The sequence below is a fragment of the Homo sapiens genome, chromosome 6 (genome assembly GCF_000001405.40).
Source record: "Homo sapiens chromosome 6, GRCh38.p14 Primary Assembly".
Lineage (NCBI taxonomy): Eukaryota > Metazoa > Chordata > Mammalia > Primates > Hominidae > Homo > Homo sapiens.
Window position 1 is genome coordinate 55425105 of NC_000006.12, and position 19562 is coordinate 55444666.

The 19562-nt window shown below is 36.3% G+C and overlaps 1 protein-coding gene across 9 annotated transcripts in view; it reads right to left on the reverse strand.

The window, feature by feature from the left end:
- Positions 1-9268: 9268 nt before the first annotated feature.
- The window catches only part of HMGCLL1 (3-hydroxy-3-methylglutaryl-CoA lyase like 1), a 244547-nt gene continuing 234253 nt past the window's right edge, over positions 9269-19562 (reverse strand). For all 9 annotated transcript variants that reach the window (NR_109869.2, XM_047418902.1, XM_047418904.1 and 6 more), the window contains 2 exons: positions 14330-14455; positions 9269-10659 (listed from right to left, as the gene is read on the reverse strand). Coding sequence is in view for 8 of the 9 variants with exons in the window: in XM_047418902.1 (XP_047274858.1) it covers positions 10558-10659; positions 14330-14455 (228 nt within the window). In the remaining variant the exon portion in view is untranslated. The remainder of the gene's footprint in view (positions 10660-14329; positions 14456-19562) is intronic.

Sequence of the window (19562 nt, forward strand, 5' to 3'; positions counted from 1 at the left end):
TCTTTCCTTTATATTTATTCAGTCCTAAGGAATACAAGTGTTGTTTGAGAAACATTTATTGAACTAATGATATCATATCATATAGTAAATTTCCTGTTAAGTAATTTTTGTCTTTTGTAATTTATGACTTATTTTATTAAACAAATACATAAGTGGGTGAGTGATTGTTGTGTCTCAAACACTAACCACAAGATCATAGATAGTTGAAGCTCTAAACATAATGTCCAAGCATTTGTCTAAATGAATTCTTTGCAAATTATAATTAATGAGCTTCTTAATTGGACATCCAGATTCCTCCATTTTCCCCTGTGCTTCAACCACATTAGCCTACTTTCAATTTCCAGAAATGCATCACGCTTCCTCCTTCCAGAGGGTTCTTCCACATGTGTTCCTTTCACAAGAAATGTTTTCTCCCCTTCCTCTTCTACTATTTAACACCTTGCTCTTCTTTCAGATCTCATCTCATGAATCATGTCCTTTGCATGGACGTGTTTTGTTACATTCTAGAGAATATGATGAATTTAAAGAAAGATGAACTTCTCCTTCATAACACTTATTACAAGTGCAATTGTGCTTTTTATGCCAATGTCTATCTTCCTCAAGTTTACTTATCTTGTTTTGACTCACTATTTGTCCTCAAATTCTAGCATCTATAGACCATCATGTACCATTTATAGATTTATTTATAACATCAGTTCTCAGATCTTCGCCACAACACCCAAGTTAGAGAAAAATGAACTTAGAGAAAGATGAACTTCTTAGAGAAAGATGAACTTAGAGAAAGAACTTCTCCTTCATAGCATTTATTACAAGTGCAATTGTCATTGTATCATAATTTCTGTGATTCCCCCATTAGGCCATTCCATAAAGAACCATTGATAAGTTTATTCATTGTTACATCCCTAGCACATAGCACATCCTTGCTCCTACTTGGTAAGGTTGACTTAAATAGTTGCTTTACCAGGATTCAGTCTCATCCATTTTCATACATAGAATTATGATTTTGTTTGGTGTGGCAATACACTTAAATACAATTCTTGAAATCCCAGACTCTTTAACAACTAAGTGATGAGTTGTGATGTGACACAGTTATGGCCAATGAAACTCAGGGTTCCTGGGAAACCAATAATTTGAGATAGACAGCAAGATTGCTATTGTTCCTTCTTCTGGCCTTGAACGTAAATGTAAAGTTTGAGTGGCAGCTATCTTGGAGCCGTTAGGAAATTAGTACGAAGATGAAAGCTAACCTGTTCCCAAGCTAATGAGGATGATGAAGCAGAAAGATGGCGTTTATTATAGAGTGCTATAAACACTCACATTGACAGAATGGACCTCCCCACAAAACTGGCTCAGATGTTGAAACTGATAATGCCACACACATACCAAGAGGGTATGAAGAGGTAAATTACTCATGTATTAAACATTCTGGAAAGAATAGGGTAGAAAGCAAAGCAGATCCAAAAATAGCTTGAGTGAAGGAAGGAGCGAGTGTCTCTGGACTTTATTGGCTGGGGAATAAAGCCAAGGTGAGGATTCCTGCATAGTTTGAACTTTCCTGCTGGTGATCATGTAGTGGTTTGAGCTTCCTCACCAGTACTAATGGAGGGAGTACCTGGGCTTTCTTACCTTCTTGATCACATGTAGCACAGAAAGAGAAGGAGACCTGAAAGTTGTCGGTGGTTACCTGTGCTTGTTACACAGGGCATTAGGACAATAACTGAAGCCATGTACTCTGTATTCTTATTACTTGCAGGTAAACACAATCCTAACTGTACAGTAAGTGCTCAATAAATATTTTTTAAATGATGAAGAAATGAATGGGAATTTATAAAGTAGTCAATGGCTTAGACTTTCAGTGTCTCAATTTGTCGTGTGTGTGTGTGTGCGCACATTATGCTCTTTAACTTTGGTGTTGTGGCAAAGATATGAGAACTGATATTATAAACCTATGAATAGTACCTGATTGTCTACAGATGTTAGAATTTGAGGACAAATAGTCAAAACCAAGATAAATAATCTTGAGGAAGATAGAAATTGACATAAAAATAGACAAGTACATAGAAGTATATAATTTGCCAGAAAGAAATATAATTAAGCTTAACTAAATTCTTTTAGAAACTCCTTTATATTTTTCCACTTAAGTATCATTGATCCCCAATAATATAGATAATATAGGCTGGTCTAGATCTTGGGCTCCACAAGTCTTACCTGGAAGACCCTGTCAAGTACATCAGATATACTTTAGAGTTACCCAGTTGCATCTAGTCATTTGACCTGTGCATCTAAACCTGTCAACTTACAGAGTGCACACACAACTTGCACTGAATTACCTTCTCAGCACTGCAGTATAATATCCATCAAGACAGGCATTGTGTCTGCCTTATTTACCATTGAAATGTGAGAACGTAGCAAAATGTTTATTTTACACATATGCACAAGAAACATTTGTTAATGAACAAAATTATTCTGAATCTGATAGGCAAATAAGAACTCTGATTTGTATTTGTGTTATTTAAATTATTTTCAGAAGAACTTACAAGTTCATTCACAGTTTATTACCTTGTATGTGAGACTAGTCTAGCAAGAGTGGTTCAAACATCAGCTATATTTTGGCTACTTATGCTTTGCTAGGACTCCCCATCTTCAGGTATTTAAAATAGTAATTAAAATGGAAAATTTCAAGAGGTCCCTTAAGAGGAAGTACACTCCCAAATCAGGAAAATAAAGGCACAGCTTTTCAAAACAGAATAATTTAGGTTATTCAGAACAGGGCTTATATTTTACCATACACATCTTAATAGCAACTAAAATTATTACTAAAGCTTATAATAACATTCCCAATATCTCAAGACAGCAAAGTCATGTTAATTACTTTTGAAATGCTATAATGTGTTAGACATCATGAGAAATACTAGGGATATACAGGTATATATTATACAGTTTCTGCATTTTAGAAGCTCATAGTCAAGTGAGCAAGACTAACACATAGCAAATAATCACACAAAAGAGTGATCAAATTTGAACAAATTGCCTTGGGAAAGTGCTGGGTGAGTACAAGATACTTCAGGGAGAAGAAGAAATGAATATAAAGAAAGAAAGGAACTGAAAACTATTGATTTGTTTTGAGGGGGGTTGAACAGAGGTGATGAAAGGGAGGATAGAAGTAGATACCAGGAAATTATGCTAGGTAGTATATAGAATCTACATTAGGATTGGCCCTGTGTACCACAAAGAGCTTATAAACTGGGGGAAAATAAGTTATATCTGATTTAAACAAGATAAGTCTGACCACAACAATACTTCCTACAGAAATGTTTATTCTTTAAATAGTTGGGATATAAAGTGGAAACTTCACTTATCTGGGAATCACATATATTTAATAGTTCATCTTTATTTAGATAAAGAACATGGTATTATATATGGGTTATAAGAAATTTAAAAGTAAAATATGATTTTTAAACTAATACAGAAGTGAATGATACCTTTCCAAAATTATTGCCTTGCAACTCTAGACAACTATTCAAATATTCTGCCAGTAAAGCAAATGTGTTTATTTACTGCTCACTGAAATTGTCTCAGAAACATTTGACATATTCTTTTGAATTACCTGTGAAGTAGAAATTTGTTTTTTCTTTTTCAGCCTGGATTTGATTTTTAGAAATAACTGAATGTCATTTGGACAAAAATCTGGTGTGAATAAAGTAGACAAATAAATTGATAAATACATGTTAACTAAATTAACAGGAAAAATATGGTTAATACTGTCTTTGTTAACAATATTAGAACAATATAAAAAATGACTCTATAGTAGTGACATTTAGTTTCTTTTATGGAAGAGACTCAATGTAATTCCAATTCTGAAAGATAATGTCATTAACATGAATGCATAGCTTCCCAAAATGACAACTTTGAAGGACAACCATGACTGCAAACATTAAATACCCAATAAAAATGGTGTACTGTTATAGAAATGCAGAAGGTTCAGGGAAGAGCCTCTAATCAGTTAGTGGTAAAAGTAAATTTCCAGCCAGGTGACATGGCTCATGCATGTAATCACAGCACTTTGGGAGGCTGAGGCAGGAGGATCACTTGAGGTCAGGAGTTCAAGACCAGCCTGGTCAACATGGCAAAATCCCGTCTCTACTAAAAATACAAAAATTATTCAAGTGTGGTGGTGCATGCCTGTAATCCCAGCTACTCTGGTGGCTGAGGCATGAGAATCGCTTGAACCCAGGAGGCGGAGGTTGCAGTGAGCTGAGATCTTGCCGCTTCACTCCAGCCTGGGTGACAGAGTGAGACTCTGTATCAAAAAAAAAAAAAAAAAAGAAAAAAAAAAGTAAAAAAAGAAAATGTCCATGAGGTAGAAGAATACTAAGAGGCTTTTAATGTCTAGATGGTCATAAACCCCTTACAGAAACATACCTATCCCCACTTACGCTCTTAGCATTTGTTATCACATGTTTCTCACTTCTTCCTCATGCCCATAATTCTAGCCTGAACTACTTTGGTCTTCAAATTCTTTGCAGATGTTTACAGTTGAGAAAAACAAAGACATACTGTTCTTTGATTAAAGGAAGGTCCATAGATATGTTTTCCTTTATACTAATGTGATAGGTACTGAGCATACAAGCTGTTATAAGGAGACAGACATTGGCACTCTACAGCTTCCCTTCACCTCTGGAGTATACACACATTTACAGTACAAATTTTGTGAGCTGACTACCAGATAATTCGGTTTTATCTAAACGAAGCTACTACGAAAAGCAGTCAGTGATTCCTTGTAATTCTGTGGACCCCTCTGAATGCTGCTGGAATGTCTGCCCAACAATCCAATATACTGGTATTAGTGTACAGATAGTGAGAGGTCACTGTGAAAACCTTCTGACTGAAGCCACCTTTTCAGGATTCATATAATTCAGGATAATGATCTGGCTGGCTACCTATGATATTTTGCTCTGCTTTACTAATGACAGGAGGCTTAAATAACCATCTGGAGAAGGAAAGTTTAGATGGGATGATCATCAGAAGTTTTGATTTATTTCCTATTAATTCCTAGAGGAGCATAATCCCTTTTAAGTTTCATACTATGGCTCAAGTCAAAGGAAAGACAACCCTCATGGAAGAAAATAATACTTCAACTAAGCACACGGTTCTACTTTATAATGGAACCAGGAAGAATAAGAAGAAAGCAGAAGCTTTCTAGGTAGTCCACCAAATAAATACAACTCATATAAAAATAGATATCAAAATCTATCTGCTCACCTGTCCAACTGCCAAAAGACTGACACAATTTCCTAATGTTCATGAAATTTTTGACTTTAGATGATGTGATATTTCTTAGATAAGTGTACTCAGCAAAAGTCTCAAAACAAGTTCCTGTAGCAAACTACTGTCATATGAAATGCAGAAAAGAATTAGCTCAGCACACATACCTCAGGGGTATAGCATAATAAGGAAAGCATGGGACTCTGGTGCCAATTTAAGACTATGTGGTCCTGGAGTTTGATGACGAACGGCCTTTTTGGGGATTATTGCAGGCCCTTTAAGACAACACACACTTTACATGGAACAGGATATAGAAAGAGAGCCTCTCTAATTGTTAACTCTCAGTGGAGGGGAAGTTCCACTCCATGGCAGTGCCATAGGAAAGGATAATAAAAATTATGATTGTTAACATTTATTGATTACTTTCTAAGTACCAGGCGCTTTGCCAAACACTTATAAGCATTATTTCATGAAATCCTTCCAATAGCTGTATAAATAAAGGTTATTATCATCTGAGTTTTACAGGTGAAGGAAGTGAGGTTTGAAATTAGGTTTAAAGACCTTAGGTAAATTGAACGAGTTTGCATAGCCATTGAGTAATAGAGCCAAGACTCAAAACTCGATTGTGTGCTTCCAGAGCCTAAGATCAGTTGATGCCAAAGAAGAATCGATAGAACCCTGGTGGAATTTTTCTCAGACTCAAGCCTCCTGGAGAAAATCCTAATGATGAGTCTATTCATATGCCTCTTACAACTTACGAAGCTGGGAAACACAGTCAAGGGAAAGAATGTGGCAGAGGACATTGACATCTGTTTTTATACTTCATTCCTCTCTTGAAAGCACTGTTCACATTGGAAATGTAGGCTGGAAATGCATGCCTATTTGGATTACATGAGTGCTAGTTCAAAATGATGCTTTGTTGTGTGGATATAGGGCATACAATAAGCTAAATCGTATCCATTTTTCTCTTCTACCAATTACAAGTGTGGTAAAATCACTGCCTTAGAAGGTCAGTGATTCTCAAACTTTAGGGTTCCTCAGAATCCCCTGGAGGATCTGTAAAAACACAGATTACTGGGCCTTAACCCAGAGCTTCTGATTTAGTACATCTACGTTGGAGTTTGAGAATTTGCATCTCTAGTGAATCCTAATTTGAATTCTAATGAGTTGGTTATGTAGTTTGCTTATGTATTCCCTCTAAATCTCATGTTGAACTGTAACCCTCAGTGTCAGAGGTGAGCCCTGGTGAAAGGTGATTGGATCACGCGGGTGGATTTCTAATGGATGGTTTAACATCCTCTTGGTGCTGTCCTGGTGATAGTTGTTGTAAAGTGTGGTACCTCCTCCCTATTCTCTCTCTTGCTCCTGTTTTTGCCATGTAAAGTGCTGGCTCTTGCTTCACCTTCCACCATGAGTAAAAACCTCCTGAGGCCCTCCCAGAAGCAGATGTTGGTGCTATGCTTCCTGTACAGCCTGCAGAACCATGAGGTTCAACCTCTTTTCTTATAAATTACCTAGTCTTAGGTATAGCAAGGCAAGGATGAGCTAATACAGTTGGTGTCCTCTTACTGTCCTTTATCTCTGTAGTATACACAGATTCACAATCTGGATTTTATAACTGACTCTGAGATGATGCAGTTTTCTCTGGATGAAGCTCCTAAGAAAAGCAGGCCATTTTGCTGCTGCTGCTGCTCCTGGGATTACACTTTCAAAACCATTGCTCTAAATTGGAGATTTTCAACTAAACTTGCACACGAGAATTGCCTTATATACATTTTTTTTTAAAATGTTGATGCTTGAAGTACTACTCCAGACGAATTAAATCAAAATATCCGAGGGTGAAGTTCAGGCATCAATATTGCTAAACTCCTCTCCCGTCATCCACTGATTAATCTAATGTACAACATGAATTGAGATCACAGAGAATAAGTTTGCTTATGTGTCAGTGACAGAAAATTAAGAGTATGTCTCTGCTAAGACTTGACTCTGAAATATCTATAAGTTACTAAAAGAATTTAAGGAATACTGAAGTAATAAGGTCTTGATATCAAGTCATTATGAAATTTTTATCTCTTAGTAATATAGATAACAGCTGATATAACAGGCTCGCTTTTCTTCGATGACATGTACAGTGGACTTTTAAATAGGCAATGCAGTTCTTGTTTCTTTGATAGAGAAGAGACAGGTTACAGAAGTTTGAGAAAACTAAATTTTTCTGGCCATTTCTGGAATGGTGTATTATGTATGCATGTGTGCGTGCCCGTGTGCATGTGTGTAAGACACACAGGAAGCAATGGCATGCCCATAGCAAAGCTGATTAGATGCTATTATAGCTGTTGCCTCTTTACCTCAGGAAGGTTTTTGTTGTTATTGATATTGTCCATTTGTTGTTATCAATTCCAGCAGTTTCACTTTTACTTTATTCTGCTTAAAAAGATATGTATTTCCCTTACAATTTTGGTTTATCCAACATTTCTTAACAACCTCTTTGGTGTATACAGGCATTCATTCCTTAATTCAATCATTCAACATATAAACTGGAACAAATAAACCTTAAAAATCTATTAAGGGCTCAGGAAATATATATGTATATATTCAGAAAACAGAGTTCATGCAGAATAGTTTCCTTCCTTCAATTCCCAAATGTCTGAATTAAACCCGTTTCTATTCTTCACTCTAACATTTATTGGTATTTAGTGCTAGACCCTAGCACTATGTTCTGGGCACTGCGGAACTAAGAGTGAAGAAGATAGCAAACCCCTTGCTCTCAGGTGTATATATTCTGTTGGAAAAAGAAAGAATAAACAAACAAGAAGGTAAAAATTCTATAATTAATAATTAAATGAGTTGATGTGAGAGAATGTAACAGGACTTACTTTAAACTGAGTTGTCCAGGAAGATTCATTAAGGAGGTAAAATTTATGCTGAGACCTCAATGACAAGAGGGAGCCAAACATGCCCAGGGAAAGAGCCAGGGAAACAGACACAGAAAAAAACTAAGGTAAAGGACCTGAGATGGATCTGAGTGTGCCTTGTTCCAAAAACAGAGAAGACAGTGGGGTAGACTACAGTGCACAAAGTGAAAAATGGTACAAGAATTTTGAATATATATGAAGCTCGAGATGCCTGTTGGATACCCAAGAGGAGGTATCAAATAGGCAAGTGCCTCTCAAAGTTAATCTGCATATGAGTCACGTAAGGATCTTGTTTAAAATGCAAACTGTGATGCAATGGGTATGGAGTGAAGGCTCAGATTCTATTTCTCAAAAGGTCCCAGGGGATTATCCTGCTGGTCTTGGACCACATGTTGAGTTGCAAGAATGAAGGCAACTGTGCATTTGTGAGTCTGCAGTCAAACATAAGAAGGAAGAGGCCAAAAGATAAATAAGGTGGAGAAAATAAAACCAGAAAAGAAACTCTCTTAAACTATCAAAGGGATTTAGATGGTTTGTGTGGAGAAAGGATACCAAATACCTACAACAAGCTTTCTCATACTAAATGTGATTCAGTAGCATCAAGGTATTCATGGAAGTGACTCAGTACACTGATATGGATGCTATGTAACTGTGCTGTAGACTGTACTTGGAGTTTCTGACTACTTGCTCTGTCTTTCAAAGTCCATGGTTTTCATTTCAAAACAGCAATGCTTTCCCATCATCCCCTTAGTTGTTACTATGGGCAGTTTGTAACAAGAGATGCTTTTCCAAATATCTGAAATTAGGAACAGCATAGCATTGTAAGAGATAGGAAGTCAGTCTCCTCAGAATATGGGGTACGTATCCAGTTGTACACGCTAATTGCAGGTGTCCCATTACTGCCAGTGTGCAGGGTCATGTGCTTCGTGAAGAGAGATGCACAGGGAGATGTAACTGAAAAAGATTCATAACCAGCTTTGATTTTTGTCTGCTCCCTGCATTTCCCCCAACCCACAAACATTAAGCCCAAAACAGAGAATTGCTCTCAGTATTCCTGCTCCAGAACCATGCAACATAATCAGTACTTCTTACTTTCTTGAATTTATTTTTATTTCAATGGTTTTAATGAATATTTCCTAGAAAGTTCACAATACTCATTTTTATGTTTCAATTTATATTCAAATTTACTCAAAGATAATATCACCCGGTATTATTAGAGAAGTCTCTCTAAATACTAGAACTGACATTTCAGATCCATTTGTAATAATACTGCCCCCATAAAATATGCATAGGTTACAGAAGTTTATCTTGAATAGTCCTCCTGCTCCTCATCCCTGACTTTGATATATTACATCTTGCAATTTCTGGCAATCAATTCTAAGACAATAGACAAAATTTCAGCCACTTCAACTTCTAAAATAACCACTAAAAAATACACCAAAAAATAATGTGGGTAAGCAAAGCACCATGAATAAAAGGAAAATGGGTATTTCATTAACCTAAAATTATCTTAATATTCTTAGGATCACAATATTTCCTTGGGCAATTTGAAAGTGATCTGAAAATTATAAAGGTAGATTATGATACATGTATCAACCTATTCTTATCACTGCAATTTAGACATCAGGACAAAAAAAAATAGCTTACAATTTCTCAATAGTTGAGTAACACCATGCTGGTTTTTACTATAACTGATGACAGGTAAAGTGTGGTAAACTGGATGCATGTAACAAACATGGGAGGTCGTAATATGTTTCCAGGATATGGCATCTTGCCATTGGCCACAGCCTCTTGGAACCAGATAAAGTCACTGAAATAGTTAACAGATGTTAGCCATACTTGAAATATAAAAGTTCTATTGCTAAAATTATGTAGGGTCAGATGGAGATTTGGCTTTTGGTCCATAACATAACTGACTTGGCAAATGAGTAGTTGAGATCCAGAGGCATAATGTATAATATTGAGGCCACACACTCTGCATACTATGCAGGAGCTCATAAACTACTGACAATATGTACACAGTGTTAAGCCTGCTTGATTAAGTATTAACACAGTATTTGATACTTGGGGAAATACGAAGTCAATTTTCCCATCTACTAAATTAAAAAGTTATTTCTATGAGAGCAAAAGAAACTTTTTTCCAAGTTCAAAATTATGACAAGTTTTATTATTTATCCTCAGCTTGCAATTTACCTGATGACTGATATTGCATTTTGTTGACTTAATCTATCCAGTTATAATCTTTTTGAAAAGGATCTCTTTTTTCCCACTCTTGTCCATTACTTCACATATCAGAGCAAGTTGGCATTAATGATTTTCAGATGAGTATTGTAGCTGAAATTGATCTTCTCAACGGTACGTCATAAATCCATTCAAGTCAAGCATTGAAGGAGGCTTGTGCTACTTTAGAGTTTGTGGTTTTATTCACAGCTTTGCAAATAAAGTCACCAGCTTCCATCACTTTGTATAGATTCACACCCTGGTGACGAAATGAAGGAATATCAGGAAGGCAGAGGGATTAGAGAGAAAAAAGATAAAACATAGCCTTTTAAATTTTATTAGTAGTTACTTAACCATTTAAAATTACTAAACAAAGTGGTGTTGGTCATTATCAATTTTGGGGCAACATTTGTTTCCATGAATAATGTTGTTAACATTTTAGATTTGTCTGCTTTATTACAGCATATCTTTAATCTGACCCTTGTATAATAATATAGGTAGACACACTTGAAAAACATCATAATTCAGGCTGGTATCTAGAGTCTAGGAAGGACAATAATGGAACTAGAAAAGCAGTCAACAAAGCATCAGCGAAGGACAATCAAAATAATGTTTTGGAGCAGTTTATAGATAAGAACTGACTTAGAAAAAAAACTATCCTCTTTACTATATAAAGAAACAAACTTGAAAAAGCCATAAGGATTACAGAAAAGGTGTATGCATATATATACATATATATTTTTTAAACCAAGGCCAGAAATACTATTACTAGTATGATATTGAAGGAGGTAGTTGCAAGTGAAATAAAATGAAGTGGTATTTAGTACACATCTGGAACTTGTTCGCCTGAGAGGTTGTACTGTCTGAAAGTATAAATAGGATCAACAAAAGCTCAGGTAAATCCATGGATGACAGATATGCAGCTGGGTATAAAGGGCAAGTTCAGGACATGCTCTTGGCTTTAGTGTAAGGAAAGGGTCACTATCAAAGTTTCCACCCAGCACTTTTGTTGTCACCGGAGGAGGCAAAGCATTAAGTGGATTAAGCACAAACTTGCCCTTATGTGGCATTTCATAAGCTTCTATGTTCCCCCTCAATATGGACTAGAAACAATGTGGGCTTAAAATTGAAAATATTCAGTTTTCCTTGCTATTATAAAGTACTTTTTAATATCTATGAAAACTTGTCACTTTCATAAAATAGACAAGTATAAAAACTCATAGGGGCTTTTCATAACAATGAATATCATTTTAGAAATTGGAGACATTTCGATATAGCTAATTACTTATCTCTTTAAGAATTAAAAATATTTTGTAAAGTGATACTTGTAAATTATTTTCATGATGTCTTTTTATTACAAAGTTGTTTTCAGGATACTAACATTTGCTTTGGTTTGAGAAAGTTGGTTTTGTCGTGGTAACGGCTTTACGTGGAGTATCTGTTTAACATCCTTAATCCAATGATACTTAAATTCTGTAAACAATTAACTTCAGGTGCCTTTCACTTATAAATTACATCCAGCAAGGGTTGACAGAAAGATTTTTGTCATTAATGTCTTTCTTCTCTTTTCAGTAAGTCCATTTGTCACAATTATACAGTAGAATTTGTTGATATCGCACCAAAGAAGAATTTTGTTTTGGCTTTTCTCTACCATTTTATTTAACCAGTAGATATCATTATGAAACAACACTGCATGTATTCTTAAATCATTTGTCGGGTGCTTAAATATGTCTCGTATACTATGATAGATTCTGGAGTTTCAAGAACCTCACGTAGAATGTGGTTTCTGCCTTCAAGTTCAAGCAAGCAATGTGGACTCACAACAGAAAATTCTGTACCATAGTTAAAGCCACAAATAGAGATATGCCCAGGTTATTACGGAGGCAGAGATATGAGGCCATCAACCCACTGAGGAAAAAAAAATGCAGAAAGGAATGTGTCAGGGAAAAGTGCCAAGAAGGGTAAAGCCTGACCTGAGGTTTATACAAAATGTATAAAAGAGGATGGAGGATATATGGGGCACTGTATGCAGGCAGAGAGAAGAGCAGTCCAAGATATCTTAAATATCCATGGCGTATATGGATAAAGGCAAAATATACCATTAACCCTGGAAAAGGTAATAATAGGCCAGATTATGTGATAGAGCACAGGCTTCCTTTCAGGAAATTAGAATCCACTGATCCTTGCTCAAGCAGACGTAGAGCCTATTCATACTTATATGTTAGGTGTAACCCTTTGATGGTAGCATGGAAGATAGATTTTAAAGGCAAGTCTGGAGCCAGCGACCAGTATATAGGATGAACACCCAGGAAAGAGATGCAGACCTGCATCAATGTAGTCATAGCAGAGGTAGTAAGGGAAGGACAACCAAAATATTTTAAAGTCAGATTAGCAGCTCTTGGTAACTGATTGGACATGGAATCCATAGTGAGATTAAATTCTATAGAGAATCCTGGTTTGTTGCCTTGGGTGACTAGTTGAATTGTGGCAGCTACTCAATGTAGCAACCCTTGGATGTTGAAATTTTTAGGAATAAACTTGATTTATTTGCATTTGGACTCCAGAGTTATGGAACATAACTGGCATATATTAAGCATCAGCTATCAGCTATGGAGTTCGATTCAGTCATCTAAATTTCTAAGAAAGGAGCTATTTACCCTCATTTATGTCATTAGCTTCTGATATAAATGATTAAGATACGATGTAAATGAAATAACATTTATTTCTAACCAGAGAAAATAGGCAATAGCTTTTGGTGTTTATGGGCAACAGCTGTTGGTGTTTAGTGCCAAGTGAAATCAGTCTTTCAATAAATATTTATGGAGCATCTTTATGCCACAGGCACCAAGTATAAAGTATGAATAAGCTGTCATAATTGCTCTGTGGTTGCATGGGAAGATAGACACATAAACAAGATAATTATATAACCTTGTGGTAAGTTCAGAGGAAAACATGAAAACACTAAGGAATGGGACCTAACAGTTTGACCTGGGGGATAGGCAGGGAGATGCCAGACGGCTTATTTTTAGGATGGTGGTGTCTTACTTTCCAGGCCAAATGGAATACGAGGCATAAGGCCATTTCACATGGTAGTGAAAACCTGAGCAAGGAGTAGAAGTGAGGAATAAAATGGTACAGAACTGTAGACTAGAAGCAAGTTTAATGCAGCCGGAGCATTAATGTAAGTAGAATGAGGAAAAAGGAGGAATAGGAGCAGCAGAGAGTAAAAAAATTCATTTTACAATACAGATGATTATTTTACATCTCAGAAATTCTAAATGTCTAATCATCTGTGATTTTTATTTTTTTCCTAAATAAATCGGTTCTATAGACTAACAGGTTGTGTTAACAATCATAGGGCAAAACAAGGTGCTGAATTTGGTGGATGTGGTTACATAGCACGTGACTTTTCCGGTACAACTTGCAAAGAGACTATTCTTGCCATCCAGTGTCTCATATGCTAAGTGTTATGAAGCTCCCCTCTTTCACTGATCATTTAAAAAGTGCCCTGGGAGTTCTTCCAGAAGCTACAGTTGTCACTGAGACAATCAAGATCTCCATTTTCTCCAAGAAAAACATCCATACAAAAAACAAAACTGCAAAACTCAACAATCGTAACAGCAAAGACACAGGCTCCAACTCACAAAGTGTATAAAATCAAATCAGATAATACATGAAAAAGTTCTTTAGAGGTCATGAAGCACTATAAAAATGTGAAATGGTAGCATTATTGGTGATTGAGCTATAGCAATGAGTTACTTTATAAAGACCCCAAAAGAATTTTTATTGCATTTTCCCACTGTGCATTTTAGCAAATAGCAAAAGTGTAGTAAAACTTTGACCTCAAAATTGCTTCCCACATCTTAGAAGCTTTGCAATTTGGAGCTGCAAGGAATGCATGAATATTAAAATACGTTAAAGTAACTTACTGTATTGAGCCCCAGGCCATTAAGCATATATATCAAATCCTCAGTGGCTACATTCCCAGAAGCACCTTTTGCATAAGGGCAGCCACCTAATCCGGATACTGCGGAGTCCACCACATTAATTCCCATCTGGAAAACAAACCAAACCACCTAAAGCTTGTGTGTTTATGGCATGTAAATTGTTGCATTTCTATTTAACCTATGGTAAACTGCAAATAAGCAAAATCTGAACTGGTTATTCAAATATATTCACTTACCCAGTGGCCTCTAGAATGGTCCCCAGGGTGCTTATTTCTTTTATGTCTAATCTCGTCTTTGAGGCTAACAGAAATTCTGCTAAGGCTCTCTGGAGCTAGAATAATCTTTGATCAAAAGTAAAATGGTGTTGTTCGTTGGTAACAGCTCAACTGTAGGTGGTGAAGCTTAGAGTAAGGTTAATTTACTCCAGATTTTCACATATTATCCAATTCTCTAACTTTATTCTAAAAGCATTTTATAAGCAACATGAAATATTTTCAACATTCTACTTCAACATCAAAATGCCTTAGATGACTGGTATGTGAGGGCAGGGGAGAGAGAAGTCACTGGGTTTGAAATAGGGTTTTGTGGGCTCACTTTACCCATTCAACTCACCAAATCTTTATTGAGACATTCATTGTTTTGCACACAAAACTCCACTACTTTGGGAGAAGGAAGAAATATTTAAGAGACAAAACACTTGCCACCAGCAGTAACGCCAGCTTACATTATTGGTTCCTCACTAAGTGCTGGATGCTGTTATTAACAAATTATGTGTATTAATTCACAATTCTCCCCAAAATCCATGAAGTAGATACTCTTGTATCATCCCCAGTTCTCAGAAAGAAAACTCAGGTACAGAGGGAATAAACAATTTACCCAAGGTCACTATCTGGTAGGTGAAATCTTCTGTCTCCAGGGAATCTACACTCTGCTTTGATTTATAGCCTCTGGAAACATGAGATTTGGTACATGATTATGCACTTGGGGATATCAGAGGTGGAAGAGCTCTCTGTGTACCGGAGAAGTTATGGAAGACATGAGTACAACAGGGTCTGAGAAGGGCCCCGGAGTTCAAATGTTAATAATATGAGAAGAACAGAGGCAGGCATGCCATTCCTCTGTGAAAGGTAACAATTCGGTAATCAGAAGATACAGTAAAGCCTAATCCGATTCTTCACTCTTGGGCATTAAAGAAAAAGTAACATGATCACATTTAAAATGAGAAGCACCTGGAAGCAGAGCTCTTTCCAACCAACTATATCATGTTTCTCAATCACAGGTTACTGCTACATTCCCTGAGTTTTTGACTCAGAAGGTCTGGGCTGCGACTTGAGAATTTTAAATTTTGACAAGATTCTGACAGCTGCTGCTCATGTGGGAATCTCTTTCTCCCTTCCTTCCTGCCTTCCTTCCCTTCTTTACTTTTTTGATAAACTTTTAATTTTAAAATAGTTTTTGATTTTCACAAAATTTGTGAAGATAAAACAGAATTCCTATATATTGCACACTCAGTTTTCTCTATGGTTAACATCTGTTACAGAAAACATTATTCAATGATACTTATTAAAGCACAGCAAGGATGAATTTATTTAGGAACATTGCAGTAGGTACAGGGACCACATGCAATGCAGGAGAGAGAGACTGTGCTGAAATCCAAATACAGCATGGGCAAGTGAGAATTTATAGCCAAGGAGTGGGGTGGGGGTCAGTGGATTAAAAATTACTAGGAGAAAACATCAGGAGTGAAAGGAATTCTGGCTAAACTGACCTACCAGGATTTTTGCAGAAGACAGGATAGGGTGATCAGACATGACCTTCGGGTTGGTAGAGGAGGAGAGACCTAATCAGATCGGGCATTTGGATATTGACTATAGGGGTTCTTGTTAAGCTAATTTAGTAGGAATTGCTAAAACTGGATTTTACAAGGAAATGAAGAGGTGGGCTTAGGAGAAGTTTTAGAAATCTGACTGAAGTTTGGCTTCTTTGTCAGATCTTATTATGGTATATTTGTCATAACTAAAGAACACATGTTGGCAAGTTTTTATTAAAATCCATGCAATATTTAGATTTCTTTAGACTTTTAAAATGACATTTCTAAAGACATTTTTAAACTGGTGTCTTTTATCTGTTCTGGGAGCTCACCAGTATACCACATTAGTAGTCAGGTATCCTTAGCCTCCTATGGGCTGTGACAGTTTCTCCGAACTATTTTGAGTAGTATAAGTCATGTTTTTGTTTTGTTTTATTTTGTTTTTTTGAGATGGAGTCTTGCTCGGTTAGCCAGGCTGGAGTGCAGTGGTGTTATCTCGGCCCACTGCAACCTCTGCTTCCTGGGTTCAAGCGATTCTCTTGCCTCAGCCTCCTGAGTAGCTGGGATTATAGGTGCGCACAATCACACCTGGCTAATTTTTGTGTTTTTAGTAGAGACAGGGTTTCACTATGTTGGCCAGGCTGGCCTCAAACTCCTAACCTCAAGTGATCCCCCCTCCTCAGCCTCCCAAAGTGCTCGTCATGTATTTTGTACATTGTCCTTCAACTTGGGTTTGTCTAAGTTTTTCTCCTGTTAAGACTGGAGTTATAGAGTTTTGGGAGAAGACCACAGAGGTAAAGTGTCATCCTGAAAGCATTATATCAAGGATATATAATATCAATATAAATTATGACGGCTGGTATTAACTTTTCTTGTCTGGCTGAGGTGGTGTCTGCCAGGTATCTGCACTATAAAGTCTCCCCACAGTCTTTCTGTATTGTACGTTTTGGAAAAATGTCACTATGCGTAGCTCACACTTAAAGAATGGGGAGTATCTACACAAAAATTTTGAATTCTTCTGTATGGAAAATTTGTCCATTCTCATTTATTTACTTATTCTAACATGTATTTATATTAGGGAGGACTCATAGCTAATTATAGGTAATTATTTTGCACTTTGGGTTATAACGTAATACCAATTTATGTCTTTTGTTGCTCAAACTGTTCAACATTTGGCCATTGGGAGCTCTCTCACTTGGCTCCTGTGTCCTTTAGGCATGCCAAAGGGACTGTGGGTTTTCAACCACTTGCCTAGAGTTTCCTTTGCAAGACTGAAAAGGATACTTACAAAATCTCACAAAGGAAGAACTACAGTCCTTAAAAAGCCTTAGAATTCTTTGGGACCTAAGGAAAGTTTACAAAGGATAGACTGTTTCTCTACCTCCATTTCTTCTTCTTATACTCTCCAACATGAGAAGGTCTCTATTGCTTTCTTTCCATTACCACAACATTTCTCACATAATGATCTGACAAGCTTAGTCATATTCAGCAGTAAAATACTGGTACCTTTAGGACAATTTTCATTTACTATGAATCAAAGCAGTAAGAATGGGGAATTATACTTTAGAAGTGAAATTTGTGGCATTGTTCAGTACTTGGAAAAGACAAATATTAAGATGTTGACCCGTCTCTGGGAGTCTGCCATGATATAAACAGGCAGGGGCATTTCTTTACTTATAGGTTAAAACTGATCTATTCAGTGGATCTGAATGTATCAGTTTAGGAGTCAGAAATTTCCATTATTCTCAATCCTGTCAACCCATTGGAATCACCTGGAGCCCTTTTCAAATGACTAATGTCTAAGCTTCTCCCTAAATTAATCAAACCAGAATCATCTCTGTCCTAGAATCTCCTCTTATCCAGTGATTCTCAAATCCCTAAAGTAGAGTTTCTTATCTATCTCACCCTTTATCAATCCGGGGTATGGGTCAGCTTTAACTTTAGAGAAACTTTGTACCCTGGGGCAGCAAACAGTTAACCAGGACTGGTCAGCATTTCAAGAAAAGCAGGTTTTGAAAAAATACCCAAAAAAGTATAAAGTAGCAAAAGTCAGAGGAATCAGCCGGATAGATGAGAAATGGCTTCAGCCCGAAATGTGGATGATTCACTTCTGGGATCTGGAATCCACGTATCATGTTCCTTTTCTCGCTACTGAGGATCAAGACCCTGCAACTACAGGAGTCCCAGAAGGGAAACTTGTTACCTTGTCAAAACAACAGTTTTTAGTCTTAATTGGCCTTTTGGGAAAGAGTGAGGAAACAACAGTCATTCTTCTATTTTGTAACTAAAGGCCAATGTAACCTATTGCTTGGGCAAGAGTGAAAGATTTATTTACAATAGAGAAACCAGTATTACCACAGAGGAACAATAAATGACCAATGTCACACTAGAGCAAATATAAATAACCAGTGAAGCCAAAAAAAAAAAAGTTCAACCTCACATTAAATCAAAGATTGTGCGTGAAAACTGTAACACTGTATTTTATACTTTCAGACTGACAACAATTAAAAAAGAATACTGGCATTGAAATAGTATAATATAGAGCTCAAATATATAAAACACTCTACAACTTCAACAACATGGACTAATTTCACAAACACAAGGTTGCTTGAAAAAAGTCAGGCTCAAAAGAAGACATACGTCATTTCATTTAGATAAAGTCCTAAAATAGACCACACTAATCAAAGCAGTGAGAGGTTAATAATTATCTTTGAAGTGTGAATATAAATAGACACAAGGAGAGCTTCGAGGGTGCTGGTAATAAATTTCTTGAACTGAGTTGATTACATTGATAGTATCAGTTTGTGAAAATTCATTGAGCTTATAATTTGTACACATTTCCATATATACATTATAGTTCAATAAATATCAATGACAAAGGGAGTGTTATTGGAACTGAAGGTAAACAGTCAAACCTAAATGAGTAGGAATATACAGTTAATTGGAATTCTTTGGGTGAGCAATTATTTAGTAATAAGTCTTCACTCGTCAATATTCTTTGTCCCAACAGTTCCTTATCAAAGAGTCCTTTCTAGAAATATTTAACAAATCCTAGAAAATAACTAGATAAAAATAAATACATATGGGTGACGTATATTGTATCTTGGTTTTGTATAGGATATATAACACACACACATATATCTATATAAAGACTCATCACAGTATGTTTTTTAAGAATGAAAATTTGAGAACCATCCAAATGTCTCACAATGGAGAATAGCTTTATGGTGTAGCTAGAAAACAAAATGATGATGCTATTTAACTGCATGATTAAGGGAAAAACAGGTTAGAAGATGTTATAACAGTACATAGAGTCATGACACAATTTTCTAAAAGCAAAAAGGATTTGGGAGATATATAAAGTGCTAATGGTAATGATCATGGGTGCTATGATTACAGATAAAT